At 35.4% G+C, this 16,103-nt stretch overlaps 1 long non-coding RNA gene across 3 annotated transcripts in view; it reads left to right on the top strand.

Annotated features, from left to right (window-relative positions):
* LOC105371308 (uncharacterized) overlaps window positions 1–16,103 on the top strand; it is a 512,336-nt gene that overhangs the window by 187,324 nt on the left and 308,909 nt on the right. The gene's annotated exons all lie outside the window — the stretch shown is intronic.

Genomic DNA, 16,103 nt, shown 5'->3' with positions numbered 1-16,103 from the left:
TTGACAAGGACCAATTGAGAGGAATCACTAAAGCTGATCCTCTTACAACTACAGGAGAATTTGCTGAAGAACTCAAGGTCGACCATTCTAAGGTTGTTGAGCATTTGAAGCAAATTGGAAAGGGGAAAAAGTTCGATAAGTGGGTGCCTCATGACCTGAGTGAAAAATAAAAAAAAATCATCGTTTTGAAGTGTCTCTCTTACTCTACGCAAAAACAATGAGCCATTTCTCCATCGGATTGTGATGTGTGATAAAAAGTGGATTTTATTTGACAACTAGCAAGAAAAATCTTCAGTGGTTGCACCCAGATGAAGCTCCAAAGCACTTCCCAAAGTCAAACCTGCATCAAAAAAAGGTCATGGTCACTGTTTGGTGGTCTGCTGCCAGTCTGATCCACTACAGCTTTCTGAATTCCGGTGAAACCATTACATCTGAGAATTATGTTCAGCAAATCGATAAGATGCATCAAAAACTGTGATGCCTGCAGCAAGCATTGATCAACAGAAAGGGCACAATTTTTCATGACAATGCTCGATTTCACGTTGCAAAATCAGCGCTTCAAAAGTTGAATGAATTGGGCTGTGAAGTTTTGCCTCATCCGCCATATTCACCTGACCTCTTGTCAACTGACTACCACTTCTTTAAGCATCTTGAGAACGTTTTGCAGGGGCTATACTGGAATAAACAAACTTATTTCTCATTGGCAAAAATGTGTTGGTTGTAATGGTTCCTATTTTGATTAATAAAGATGAGTTGGAGCCTAGTTATAATGATTTAAAATTCATGGTCCAAAACCACAATTACGTTTGCACTAACGTAATATTACATTCTCATAAAGTGCTTAGTACTGGTGTAACCCATTTACATAAATTATCTCAGTTATTCCACATAAACACTCATTGTATCTCATTTCCCAGGTAAGGATATTGAGACCGCAATATATTATCTAGCCAGATTTTGAATATTGGAAGGCTTTTGGGGTCTAGAAGTGCCAAGTTTAATATAAAATGCCAAATATTAGCAGAAGCATGGCCTGTAAGCTGGCTTAAATGTACGGAGTTGTAGAAAACAAATATCCTTTTGGGAAGTAACACTTTTTTGATGTTTGTTTTCAAATGATCACAGGGGAAAGTACAGCAAAGAGAACAATCATCTGATCTCCATTCTCTTTTTTTTCTTTTTTTTAATTATACTTTAAGTTCTAGTGTACATGTGCACAACATGCAGGTTTGTTACATAAGTATACATGTGCCACGTCGGTGTGCTGCACCCGTTAACTCGTAATTTATATTAGGTATATATCCTAATGCTATCCCTCCCCCTCTCCCCCCACCCCACAACAGGCCCCGGTGTGTGATGTTCCCCACCCTGTGTCCAAATGTTCTCATTGTTCAATTCCCACCTATGAGTGAGAACATGTGATGTTTGGTTTTCTGTCCTTGCGATAGTTTGCTCAGAATGATGGTTTCCAGCTTCATCCATGTCCCTACAAAGGACATGAACTCATCCTTTTTTATGTCTGCACAGTATTCTATATGTGCCACATTTTTTTAATCCAGTCTATCATTGATGGATATTTGAATTGGTTCCAAGTCTTTGCTATTGTGAATAGTGCCACAGTAAACATATATGTGCATGTGTCTTTATAGCAGCATGATTTATAATCCTTTGGGTACATGCCTAGTAATGGGATGGCTGGGTCAAATGGTATTTCTAGTTCTAGATCAAAAAGTGGACGAAGGATATGAACAGATACTTCTCAAAAGAAGACATTTATGCAGCCAACAGACACATGAAAAAATGCTCATCATCACTGGCCATCAGAGAAATGCAAATCAAAACCACAGTGAGATACCATCTCACACCAGTTAGAATGGTGATCATTAAAAAGTCAGGAAACAACAGGTGTTGGAGAGGATGTGGAGAAATAGGAACACTGTTACACTGTTGGTGGGACTGTAAACTGGTTCAACCATTGTGGAAGACAGTGTGGTGATTCCTCAAGGATCTAGAACTAGAAATACCATTTGATCTCCATTCTTAACATTAAGTTGGCCATCTGAGAGTCAGGCAGAATTCTATGAAGAATCAATTCTCAAGAACACAGATGAGCTTTGAATACTGCTTGGGTAGCATAACGGACTTTTGATGGTTGCTTCAATTGGTTCACAACAGACCCTGTCCCTTTGGGTGTTAATGAGCTATTGCAGAACATCAGTGACAGAAGAACTGCACTTAAGGGACATTTAGCTGTGATTATGTTCTTATATGTGCCCATCTTTCTCATCTTTCTCTGTAGGAGGAACTCCCAGGAACCACTGGGAAACACTGGGCAGTGGCTAAGAACCAAATTTTAAGTTCTCGACTCATTCTAAGATTTTTAAAATTATCTGTATGCCTTCGAGGGGGTATTTGCAGGTTGAATTAGAGGGTAAAAATGTGTTAAGAGGTAGAGAAGAAGAGAGAGAGAACACTAATAAGAAATGTCCTAGAAGGCTGGAAAAAATTAGTTGCAGCAAAGTATGTTATAAATGCCCTAGAGAGAATGAAATAAAATAAGTCAAGTTCATTTTAATACAGTTTATTTTCAGAAAAGATCTAGATTGCTTCTCAGCCTTTTGGCTAAGTTCAAGTTCAGAATAGGTCTAGATTTACAGAAATGTGAAGATGCTGTAGAGAGGGTACACAATTTGCTGTAACCATTTTTTTTTCTAACCTTTGAGGACATTTTATATTAATGCTCTCTCTCTCTCTCTCTCTCTCTCTCTAATTCAACCTGTAACCACATTTTCCACACCCAAATTCCATTGTTATTAATACTGTACTTTACCATGGTGTATTTTTCATAATTAATAAGCCCATCCTTATACATTATAAAGGCCCATATTTTGTAAAGATTTCCTTAGGTTTTACTAAATGTCATTTTTTCTGTCCCAGAATCCCATTTAGGATATTTAGGATACCAGATTTCATTTAGTCATCGTGTCTTATTGGGTACTTCTTCACTGTGATACTTTTGCAGACGTTCCTTGCTTTGATGACTTTAAACCGTTTGAGTACTGGTCATTACCTTTTAGAATGTCTTCCAACTGGGGTTCGCCAGATGTTTTTCTTATCGTTAGACTGGGAATGGAGGTTTTGTGGAGGAAGACAACAGAAGTAACATTCCATTTTCACTGCATCATGTCAAAGGTACATACTATTACCATGATTTAACATTGTTGATGTTGACATTACCACCTGGCTGATATAGTGTTTGTGAGGCTTCTTCATTTATCAAGTTACTCTTTTATCCCCATTTCCACCTGTTCACTGGAAGGAAGGCATGATGTGCAGCACGCTTAAGCAGTGAGGAATTGTGGTCCTCTTCCATGAGGATCTGGTGTTTCCAAAATTATTCTAAATTCTTCTGCATGATTTGTCTCTTCTCCCCCTCCCTTCATTTATTTATTCACTTGACACCTTATTTATCTCAACATAGACATATGGATTTATTTTATACTTTGAGTTGCAATCCGATGCTATCTTATTTATGTTATTGCTTATATTATTCTGTCTCTGATCACTGGGGGCTCTTCTAGTGTGCTCCTATATCCTTTCGATGTAACCAAAGTTGTCCCGTTTATTTTTGTTTTGTTTTTTAAGCACTTCCTAACTTTTAGCATAACAAGATAATCCAGGCTCACAGGTATATTTCCTGTATCAGTCCTAGAATCATTTATTTTTCCAAATGAATACTGGGTTCTTCATCCGGAAAGATAGTATTAGAAAACAAGATAAATCTCTACCCAAGCTAGCAATAACAAAAAGAGAGAAAAAGTCTAATCACTAATATTAAAATAAGAGATCTTATCACTTGTGCTTTCTTAGACATTAAAAGGGTAAAGAAATTTTATGAATGACTCTTTGCCCACGTATTTTATAATTTAGATTAAATAGTTCAAATTACTGAGACAATCTTCAAAACTCACATAATGGCGATACAGATAACCCAAATAGTCATTATCTATTAAGGAAATGGACTTGGCACTTGATATCTCAAGTTGCCCACTTGGCCCTCTTCCAAGTGTATTTTACTTCCTTTCTTTCACTTCTGCTCTAAAGCTTTTTAATAAACCTTCACTCCTGCTCTTAAAATTGCCTCAGTCCCTTAAAAAAAATTGGCTCAAAACTTCTATTATCCTTCAAAAAAAAAGCAGCACCAAGCCCAGATGTTTTCACTAATTCAGCAAAACATTTTAAGGAAATATAATACCAAGAGGGAACATTTCCTGCAGTGTGATTCCAACATTGCCTAATACCAAAACAAGATAAAGACATAAGAAAAGAAAACTGCAGATAAATAACTCTCGAGAACATAGATATAAAAATTTTTGAAAAAAAATTAGCAACTAAAATCCAAATATGTATACAAAAGAATTATCTACTACAACTAAGTAGAATTTATTCCAGATATGCAAGAATGCCCTTGCTCCCCAATGCCGCACAACACTGTACTAGAAATTAGCTGGAGACTAAAAATAATAGTTAGAGAAAGAAGATGAAAAACTAATAAAAGGTGTACCAAACAGACAGGAAGAAATAAATAAAATTGTTTTCATTCACAGATGGTATGATTGTCTCAGTAGAAAGCCAAACATTCTAGACGTACCTCCTGCAACTTAAGTGAGTAATAATAGGGTTGCAAGATGAAAAATCAATAAGTAAATGTCAATTGTTTTCCTGTACATTAGCAATACATAATTAGAATTCAATTTTTTAAGACAGAAATATTTAAGTATGACAACATATATAACATAATCTATGTGAGGAAAAATAACACGACTCTGAAGAAAGAAATCAAGTACATTCTAAGTAAATGGATAAATATCCCATGTTCATACATTGGATGACACAGTACTGTTAAGATGTCAGTTTTCACCCAATGGATATATAGATTCAATGCAATCCAAATTAAAATACCAGCAAGTATTTTTGTAGCTATTTACTAAATAATTCAAAAATTTATATGAGATGGCAAAATACAACGAATTTGTATTGATTATTGCTTAAGATTAAGTTGGAAAATTCATATTACACCACCACAAGACTTATAGAGTAAGACACTGTGGTGTTGGTGAAAGAAGAGATAGGGATTAAAAGAACAGACCATAAGGAATTGCACTGTATTTCAAGTTTGATGTAGCTGTAGTTGTCAGAGGATTCAAATTTTCATAAGTTTTTCTTTTCTTCGTTTATTTTTCTCTTCCTTTTCCTTTCTTTGCTTCCTTCCATTCTTTTTTGTTTTCCCTGTTGCCTTTGGAGTTTCCTAAGTCCTCCTCCTCCTTAGAGATAGTCTGTAGCTTGAAGCTTTTTCATCTATAATCCACCATAACCATATTGGAGTCCTATTAGTGTAGAAGTAAGATGTGGGGGTGGAAGAGTATTTCACAAACTTCTGATTAACTCTCAAGCTTTTAGTGGAACTGTGTCTCCAGTGTGACCTTCACAATTTTCTCTTTAGAGATGTGGCTTCTTTTTTTGCACCCACTATCTACCCCTTTCTTTGACTGTAGCATTCTCAATCAATTATCTTTGAAACTAACAACCCTGTTGACTGTGACTTTGCCCCTTTCCTCGGTAAGACAGCAAGGCTGGAAGGGGTTGGAGTGGGGTTCCCTTCTCCTAGGCTGGATGATTTTATGAAATAGAACTTTCTTCTGGAGAGTACGCATTTGTTAAGGAGAAGGTTATTAGTGTATTTTCACCGTGATTACTCTTCCTCTTTTGTTTTTAGAGCCAGGAGGGGATATTTGTGAATTATCCACTGGTGAAGTTTCTGGTGATAGAGCGCAGGAAGGTATGGAGGCCCTCCTAAGACTGCCCACCCATATAGCCCTGGGAGACTCTCACTTTCAGACTAGTTCACCCTTCACTCTAGCAATTCATTGACATTAGGAAGGATTTGTTGCTAGCAGTTTGTGGACCTAGCAGCTTCTACCCCTGGTAAGTGGATCACAATATCTCTCTAGCTGTGTTTGTTTCTCCAGAGTACACTGTGGCAGTTTTCCCTGAGAACTTACTTCTCTGGTGTGTCTGAGAAAAGTCGATTTTCAGCTTGTGTAATTTTTTGTTGTTGCTGTAAAGGTGGGCAGCTCTTTACATATTGAAGCTGTAACCTGAAATCCATTATTTTTTTTATTATACAATGTTAGCTCTAGGTGTAATGTAAAAGTAACAGATGCATGGTCTATTTTATTATCTTCTAACTCTCCACTGGAAAATACATATCACTTTATGGAGTTCAAACTACTTTAAAGAGTTTATGCAATTAAATTCTTTCTTGTTGTATGAACATAAGCTTTTGATCATTTTCATAGTAATCTAAACATTTGAAACATAAAATACAAAATTGAACTTATTCACCTTACCTACTTTAAATGGATATATAATTATGTCTTTTTTTCTGAAATAATATCTTTAGTCAAAGGATTTGTATTTTTTTCAGCTTTCTGTTTTTTAATTTTGATATTATTTTCCCCACTTGAATTCCTAAGTATAGAAATAGAATCCCATTATTAAAATGCTGATATCTGACTAGATTATCTCTAAAGAGTATTACAAGACCCAGTATTTCATGATTCTATAGTCGTTCTATATTTTCTTTTATACTCAGAGTGTGAACTGGATCTTAGTTATAGAAATATGTAGATCTAGTTTATTTCAGGATGTTGGTAGAAACGGGGACAAATTATTCACCAATCTTCATCCCAGGCTCAGAGGAAGATTATATATCCAAGTTTTCCACTATAATTAGGTTGGAGCCATATGACTAGGCTCTGGACAAAAGGACAGTGGAAATACTAGGCATCACTTTTAGGCATGCCACACCTTGGGTATTCTAAGCCTCCAAGACCCCTTAAAAATGTTAATGATTATACTCTCACAGCAGGAAGCAACATATGGTCAATGGGTGTGTGTGTGTGTTTGTGTGTGTGTATCTAAGTGGGCACAATAGATATATTTGGACTTGGCAATTTTAAAATTAAAATTAATTGATTAATATAATAAGTTTTTTTCCAATTCAATAGCACTTTATAACTTTTTTTTTATTTTTCTAAAAGTGTAGGAGTTGGGTCACCTCAAGTTTTTTAAGGCATATTTCCATTTCTTAACCTGCTGAATCAGAATCTATGTGAATGGAACCCAAAATTTTGCATTTTAAACAAATAATCTCTCTATAGGCTAAAATTAGGGAAATGGTACTTAATTTTACAGGCTTTTTCATATTACCCATTCATTTAATCTACATATAAACCTTCTTGTTTTACCAGGAGTTTAAGACATTATTTTTGTGCATTTATTTAATTATGTTATTCCTTAGACTAATGAAAACAAAGAAAAAATAGGAGGATTTTAAATATTCATTTAACAAAATGAGGTTTTTGTTTTGTTTTGTTTTGTTTTTTAGAGGAAATTGAGCTAAACAATTCCAGGGAGTAAAAATATGATGAAGCCAATTAAAAGGTTAATATGTAAAATGTGTGACAGATGGCAGGCCCTTTCTGGTCCCCTAGAGTTCCAACAAGGCTGACTTCAAGCTTGGGATCTGACTGTGAGCTTCAGCTATGACCACCTTTCAGAATTTCAGATGCTACATCTATGACACTTCAAGGCCCTTGATTTTACCTCTGGGATATAGTCCCTTATAAATCTGCTCCATTTAAAAAAAAAAATGAGATTTCTGTGTGAGCTTGAAGAGATTTACCCTTGCCTCCGGAGTCCTACCCCTTTACAGAGAACAGACTGTGAATTCCTCTTTCAAACCAGAAATCAGTCTCTGCAACAGTCCCCTGGAGGAGTCTGGAAAAAAAAAAAAAAAAGCCTGTGCTTCTGTTGCCTGCTTTGTTAATAAATAGCAGATTACATTCTCTGGGGCTATGCTAAATTTATAAAGAACATGTTATGCCAGACAAACTTGATTGCTTTTTCAATAAAGTCAGTAAATTAGCGGATAAAGGAATAGAGTGGATGTAAAATATCTTGATCATAATAAAACAAGTTGATAGGAATTCACACACACACACAAAAAGATCTTGCTTGAAAATTTAATCCAAATTACCTTAGCTTCAAGGACTGTCACATAGATTAAACACTGAAAGAAGAATGACCGTAAAGAAAAGATAATGAAAAATGCTAACAAAGAAATCTATTATAGGCACTTAAAATCTTAATGAATATTATATAAAAGAGACTAAATAGCCCAAGCTTTAATTTCTCACTTTGCCTACTCAATTGAGAGGCTTAGAGAATAATCAGAGAAATTGCTATACTTCTTCACTGTTTGAAAGCCTATCCTATTTAGAGCAATTGGTTCACTCAGGTTTACTAGAGTGTAGATATTAATGCTCTGCTCTAAAATTTTAGTCATTTTAAATTCTAAGGGAATTGTGACAAATGCAAGGAATATTTTAGTAATTCCATCTATACTGTTTCATGTTGGGAGTGAGTGAATTTAAGAGAGGTGGATCTGGACTTGGTCTCATTATCTTAGGTGCAGTATCTGGTATTCTAATGTGAGACAGGATACTACAATCGCACAATTAATTACATAACCCATGGTGTACCTGAATCATAAAGACCCAGTCTTCAAGCTTAGGGTGCTACTGCTTTTGTTTATAATGGAATTCTCTAGTTCTCTTCATCTAGAGGAAGCATGGTATATAGTTAAGATCATAGTTTTGAGTCTTGGTTTGCCTTTTAGAAACTGAATAAACTTGAAACGTCCCATAACAATTCTTAGCTTCTATTGACTTACATGTAGTTTGATGATGATGACAAGAATTACTTACCTCAAGGAGTCTATCACATTGAAGGTACAAAACATATGCTATGATAAAGTTAATGTATAGGTGTCTATGGGCCTTAATGTGTCAGATATGTACCATTGCTCAGTGATTTACCTAATTCAAAATAAGTATTTAATTATTGATGATTATCATAATTAGAATGGTACTCTTGGAATTGACATTAAGTCTACCTGGCTAGTAGTAGCCTGATATTCTGTTTTCTTATAACAGAAAAGTTGGAATATGCCCCTTTCTCCTAATACTATAATTTATCTTCATGTAACCATTACAGTTTTGCCTATTTGATTGAGTGCAGTTGAGCCTGTTCAACCTGTTAGACACTTTTAAATTACTAGCCATTTCCCTAAGGATCCCAAACATTTGCATTTTTAAAAATTCTTATTGTCATCCACAATTCTGACACCTTTCCCTTATCTTTTGCACTGTGCCAGTGAAAACCCATCTATCTATGACAGTTAAATGGCATTAGAAATAAAATAATTTGCCATAGATACAAAAAGCCAGCCATGCCTACATCAATAACAGGTAATATACTAACTGACCATTTTCTAATATTCAACATATGAAGGTAGTTAATACCATTGTTATTTTGAATAAACTGAACCAAATTTTTAATGCTTAAATATGTTCATATTCTTTGAGGATCCATTTCTTCATTTGTAAAATGGGAATAATAATCAACAACAACACAGGATTATTATGAGACTCAAATTATTACTCAGAAGTTCTTTGAAATCCCTAAAATAATGTAGAAGGTTGAGGAGGCTATTAAGTGACCCACTTATTGAGTAAGGAAAGATAAACCCTAACTCTCATTATTACTTTTATAAACTCCAAACAGGGATATTTTTGGCTACAATAAGGTTTTTATGTGCATTAGAAGTAGTTTCATTTTGCAACGCTAATGAACAAACCAGAAATAAGATAATTTGGAAGTAAATATAATGGGTTAAATGTATTTTAGAATCTCAAAATTTAGAATATTGTTATTGCAAGTTCTTACCTTTTACAATATTACAGGATTTTTATATATATTTTCTGTATTGAAGATAGCTTCCCTAACAGTCAACTCCAGATGCTGTCATAGTTGATTCAAATTAAGCCAATTTTCAAAGCTTAGGAAGAACACAGAATTTGGGCAAGAGAGACATGGCATTGATTTCTCATTCTGCAACTTATTAGCAATGGAGGCCTTCAATAAATTACTTAACTTCTCTCAGTCTTAGTATGCCTTATATATTAATTTGGATTTTAACATTTTTATAAGCTGTTAAGCTGTCTACTGAGATATATTATTAATGTTGCTCAGTGATAAGCCAAAAGTAGGAATCTAACCAAGGATACATACCTTAATCTGTATTAAGGTAAGTTGCCAGGGCTACTGGGAGTAATAACAAATTTAAACCATTCCCATCAATATGGAAACTTGTGAGACAATTATGCATGCTGAATTTTATCTGGGAGAGGGGGTAATTCATGTAATCACTTTTTGAAATTAATGCCTACTAGGAATACCTTCTGTTTTTCTTTTAAGAAAGAGATTTAATTGTCAGGTTAAGAGTAACTTAATGACTGAGTAAAAGGTCTACATTCATAGGAAACAATTTACTTTTGTGAAAAAAGTGAGCTTTTTGTGAAAAAAAAAAAAAAACTGAGCTTAATGTCAAAAGAATATATTACTTAGCCCTTGATAAGTATTTTCCTCTTTAAGTTTCAATTGCTAAGTTTGATAAGAAGGAATAATATTACCCCCGTAATACTGTGGGAATTGATTAATTAATGTATACAAATTTTAAAAACATATGAGGATGTAATCAGCTTGCAATGCATGTTAATAGCCTTCTCGTTCTGCCATAGACTGGGTTAATCCTTAGGAAGCAGAACCTGAGTCAGAGCTTTCAGAAACAATGTTGATGTGGGAAACCTATGCCAGGGAAAGAGAGGAGGTGACTGGACAGGGTGAGGTGGGAAAGAAGAAGAGCCATTTTACAATGAGCTTTGTGGAGATGTGTAGTGCTTTTGGCCATTGGGGATCACATCTCCCTAAAGACTTAGAGGATAAATGAGAATGAGTAAGTATGAGCTTCAAAATTGTCCTCCTGAGAGATGGAAGTAACATGCATTGATTCGATAGCTTTCATCCCTTTTTGGTCCAGAGTTGTCAAATAAGGTGTTACATTTTCTGTGTTTCCAGATTAGTGAGTGCTGCAGTGCTGACTGAGAGCCTGCTTGTGTCCAAAACTGCAGTATCAAAGAAGCTCTGGGGGAGTAAGCCCTGGTATAGCTAAGGTACTGCCAGGTTACATCTGAGGAAAGCTGCCTGTCTTAGTAGTTTCGAGAGGAAATCGTTGCCCAAAGAGCATGTCAAGTATGGACATAATAGGGCACTACTCAAGTAAATGCAATTAAATTCACTGTCTTCTCACCTACATATACACTTGGTGCCACTCGTTGCTGCCTCTATTCTTCCTTATTTAACTATTTTAAAATAGGTTATCGGGATGTAATTTACCTACAGTCACATCACCTTTACAGTAAACAAAAAGGGTGAATTCACATTTGAAGAATGCATGTAGTTTTATTACCAGCACGATTCCCTTTCAGAAGTACATTATTATTAGATTAGCCTGATAGCATCCAGTACAAATTTCCTGCCATTTTATGTCTTTCCTTTTCTTATAACAAGCCTCAAAGGGCTAGAGAATAGAAAAGCACATTCTTTCCAGAAATAAGAAGCAAAATATGCCTTGGATTGGCAAAATATTCTTAACTACCAAAACTGGGAAAGAAATACATGTTTTCTCTGAGCCTTTTTGTCTACCTTTGTGTATGACTAAAATGTTTTCATTTTCTTAGGACTTGCTTGTGAAAATCCCTCTGCAAATTAACTAAAATGTTTCACTAATGGAATTTTGAGAAGTGGGCATACCTATGTCTACAATGTAGAGAGCCTGTGACTAGAGAAAATACTGGAATATGTGGTAGTGAGAGAAGAATTCCTGACAGAGGTAGCTTATTCTATGAAAAGCCTATAGCTGAAAAGGCTTTTTAAAGTTTGACATTTGTTTCATCGGCAAAGACAAATCTATTCATTCTAACCAATCCAGGTTTTAAAGCAAATGACAGCCCAGGTATCACAGTGACCAGAACTAGCTCTTCCAGCAGAAAGATTTTGTGATGTTCATTGTCTGAGGAAAAAAGAAGAAATGAAGATAAAAAATAGCAAATGGTCATATGCTACAGGCCTTTTATTTCATAAGCCTCCAACAATAAATCTAGTGACCATTTTCACAAAAACTCTTTATTATAGTTTTAATACTAGCTAAGTGGGCAGAAAAGCCTAGTCTTTCCCTGGATACCAATAAGACACTGTCCCTTCTTACATACACTGGAAAAACATATGGAATGTGTTTGAGTTGTGATATACAAAATAAACTCCTGCTTTTAACTGTTAAAATTCCATGATGGCAGCTGTAAGGAAAATGGCTGAACTTCAGTCAGGAGTAGGCCAAGGTGGACATCCGGTACAGTATGACACACTGGGTTTGAAGTGCAGGCACACAACCCCACGCTTTACATAATCACATTTATGTAGCCGTTTAATGTAACCTGTTTGTGTGAGCTCATACCTGGCTTTGAGTCACTATTGTACTGTACTGCTGACTCTGTAGGCGGGAGAATAAAACCAGGTCCCAACTGCCTCGAGTGTTCATTCAGCTACCCGCCACCCTTCCACCAACTCCCCTTGGACCCCAGCTCGAGTTGGAACCTGACAGCAACATTTAAAAAAAATTAAGCTGATATAATTATTAAAGTAGCCCTGAGAGACAGATAGTGAGAGGTACCTTCAGATGAGCTCAGAGAAAACCATGTACCCCTCATCTCTCCTAATAGAGAAATTGAGGAGTCAAGAGTTGAAGTAACCTGACCAAGTTCAGGCAGATACTATGAAAGTGCCCTAACAGTCAGCATCATGAATTTCAATCTCTACCTCTTTCCACTGCACGTGGGTAGGTAAAAATATATAGCCATATTAAGTAACTTTTCAACTTCATAATATTTAAAGAGGAGAAAAGGTCATATTATTTTGTAAACAAGTCAAATAACTGTCTTCTCAAAAATGACTAAGATTTACTCTGTTCTTTCCTGTGTACCCAGCTGACGTTATGTGAAGCCTCTTGCCTCTTTTTTGTTTTCCATATAACATTTTAGACACTCTTGCAAAAAGTTTTTTATTGAATGAGAAATGGGATGACCCACATTTCACTTGATGTCTGTAGAAAAGAATAGTGATTGAGAAAGATCTTTATCTTCATTCAAAAGAGCAACGAATGGTCTCGGGTTACCAGAAGAGGAAGCCATCTTGAAAATGTCATCAATGAAAATAAAACAGACAAGCAAATACAAACAAAACTAAATCCATTCCCAATGCTTGACTAATTTTGAAACAGATGGCCTAATTAGAAACTCTGAAAGAACAAGAGAGAACCATGTGCCAAAGGGAAATAAGATGCATTACCTCTGGGAGGAAAATAAGTGTGTTAGAGATATAACAACTATTAGTTTAATGACTTTGGATAGTCACCTTATAAAAAATCTGGTTAATCTAAAATTGAAAGTGTAAATTCCCATTGATGGTTATATTATTTCAGTAAACTGTAAAGGAGCTTAAACAATGAAAGGTCTGTTTCCAGCCAGAAAACTATTTCCTTTTTAAAAGTACTTGAATCAAATTTAGCAACATTTATTTGGGGGTAGAAGTAGAATCTTAGAGCTTCTAGAATGAACATGATATCCGAAGTCTTATAAAATATCTTTGTCATCTTCATATGTAAACAATGTCAAGTTAGAACTGGCAATAAAAGGAAGAAATCAAAATTTCTTGAACAAACTGACACAAACTAGAACAGGCTGAATTACAAGTTAGTGGGTTTTGACTGTCGCCAGAGTATTCAAATTATGGGTGTGGTCGAAATTCAAATATCAGAGAGCAGTTGAACTCACTGCTTTCCAATATCCCTTCTAATCCTAAGATTTAATGATGTGATGAATATATTGAACTCTCTTTGCCAAAGAAAGAGAATAACACAAACTTTCACAATTATTTCATTTTACAAGTATTGCCGAGATGGTATACATAAAACATTTACCTTCTCTAACCCATCTGAACCACCTCATGAATAAAAAGGATATTTTTCATGAGGTACTTGTTAAGTGCAATGACAATCCTCACAGAAATGTCCTTTTGTGTGCTCCAGTCACCAACATTGCTATTGTAATTTAGAAAGCAACATATATTTACATATAAGTATGTAAATACTTAAGTTGTCTTCATAACTGGACATGAATACCTAATAAGAAATTTAAGCAATAGCAATGTAAAGGCTTTTTGACAACCTTTGGTGACTTTTTAAATTGCCCTAAGTTACCATTTTAGCATTGAGCATAGTGTCTCACGCATAATAGATGTTCAAGATGTCTTGATAAATAAATGAAATAGTATATACCTAATCCTTGGTAATTGAGTATCTTTTCTGTTGTTCCTAAAACAATTATTGAGGTCCCACTTTGTACCAAGCCCTGAGATGGAGGGATCATTGAATGATTTCTAAAATGTATAACGGACACTAATACAATGCTTTTCTGTAAAAGGAATACTTGTCTAGTGGGCATGTGGAGAAAAGTGGAATAGGGTGAGAGAACTCAGACATGAACAATTGAGAATACAAATGGAATTAGTGATGTTAGAAAAGTTTATATAAAAATCAAAAAAACAAATAGATGACAATTCCAGCATAGGTTTATTTGGCTCCATAGGATTGTTCTGAGGACAGTGTTGATTGCTTTATGATTATTTTTTCTCATTTGGTTTCTTTTTCACCTGTATTATTTATTTAAAAATAAAGTTATATTTGTGTTTTCCTCAATTTCCTAGAAGTAATAAATTATTGCTTAGCATGGGTGTGGTGGCTTGTGCCCACAATCTCAGCACTTTGGGAGGCCAGGAGTTCAAGACCAGCCTGGGCAACATAGTGAGACCCCATCTCTGCAAAATAAATTAACCAGTCATGATGGCACACACTTGTAATCACAGCTTCTCAGGGAGCTGAGGTGGGAGATTGCTTGAGCCCAGGAATTCCAGGTTAAAATAAGCTATGATGGCACCACTGCCCTCCACAGAGGAAGACCCTGTCTCTAAAAAACTTTTTTAATAAAATAAAGATAAGTACATAAATAAAAAAATTGCTTGGAAAAATAGAAATTTATGGTAGACCACTGTTTAAAAACCTGTTAAAGATGTGTTTACTCTGCAATTCACATCTGTTTAAAATTTACCAAACATCAGATGAATCAAATCCTACTTCCTGAACTGGATTATGGAGACAATAAGATACATTATTTTCTTTTGTTTTATCTTGTCACCACACACAGGCCCTAAAATAGCCTCTTTTTCAGGTCAAAATAGTCACAATGGAAGGTTTTAGTTGCTTTCCAGGCACGTATTACAGTTACAGAAGATTTTCACATAATCAAAGTTGAGTATTTCAAGAGAGATCAAAAGAGACAGTGAAGTGGAGAGCAGGTGTGCCGACATTCTTAGAGGAGCTGAGAATGCAATTAACCAGCAAATGAGCCCTTGTACAGTCAGGCTTCCTGAACAGATGAGCACAACAAAAGCTACCCAGAAATAAGGTGGCCAAGGGCTACTCCTGAATGGAGTGTGCACATGGGCATCTGCCCCTGTTCTTGAACTTTAGGAAGAGAGAGGGAGAGATATTCAATAGGGGCAGCAGAGCCAAAATAATTATGCAAATACAGGAAACTGCAGGAGGACATAAAAGTTTAGACTGCTTTCACAAAGGATCTTGTAACAGAGATTCTCTCTTCTCTCTCCCAATAGCACCAACTTAGGGCTAAAACAGGGCAACAGAAGCAATTCAAGCAAAATTAAAAGCATCGTGGTTAAATCACTTGACATTAGTAGGGCAAATCCAAAGGCCATTTTGATAGCATTCGGAGTTACCAAATTTGTTTAGCTTTGTCAATTATGAGTACTGTGAACGAGAATTAGTTACTTAACCTCTCTGAGCTTCTATACTCTCATTTATAAAGTGCTGATATAAATAGTCATCACAGCAGTAGTAAAATAATGTTAAAAAATGCTTCCTTTGCTGGACTGTTATGAGAATTAGAGACAAGTATGTTACTGACATGGATCATGGCAAGGATTTATGTAATAGCTGCCATCGTAAT

The sequence above is a fragment of the Homo sapiens genome, chromosome 16 (genome assembly GCF_000001405.40).
Source record: "Homo sapiens chromosome 16, GRCh38.p14 Primary Assembly".
Classification (NCBI taxonomy): domain Eukaryota; kingdom Metazoa; phylum Chordata; class Mammalia; order Primates; family Hominidae; genus Homo; species Homo sapiens.
This window is presented reverse-complemented; position numbering and strand designations above follow the sequence as displayed.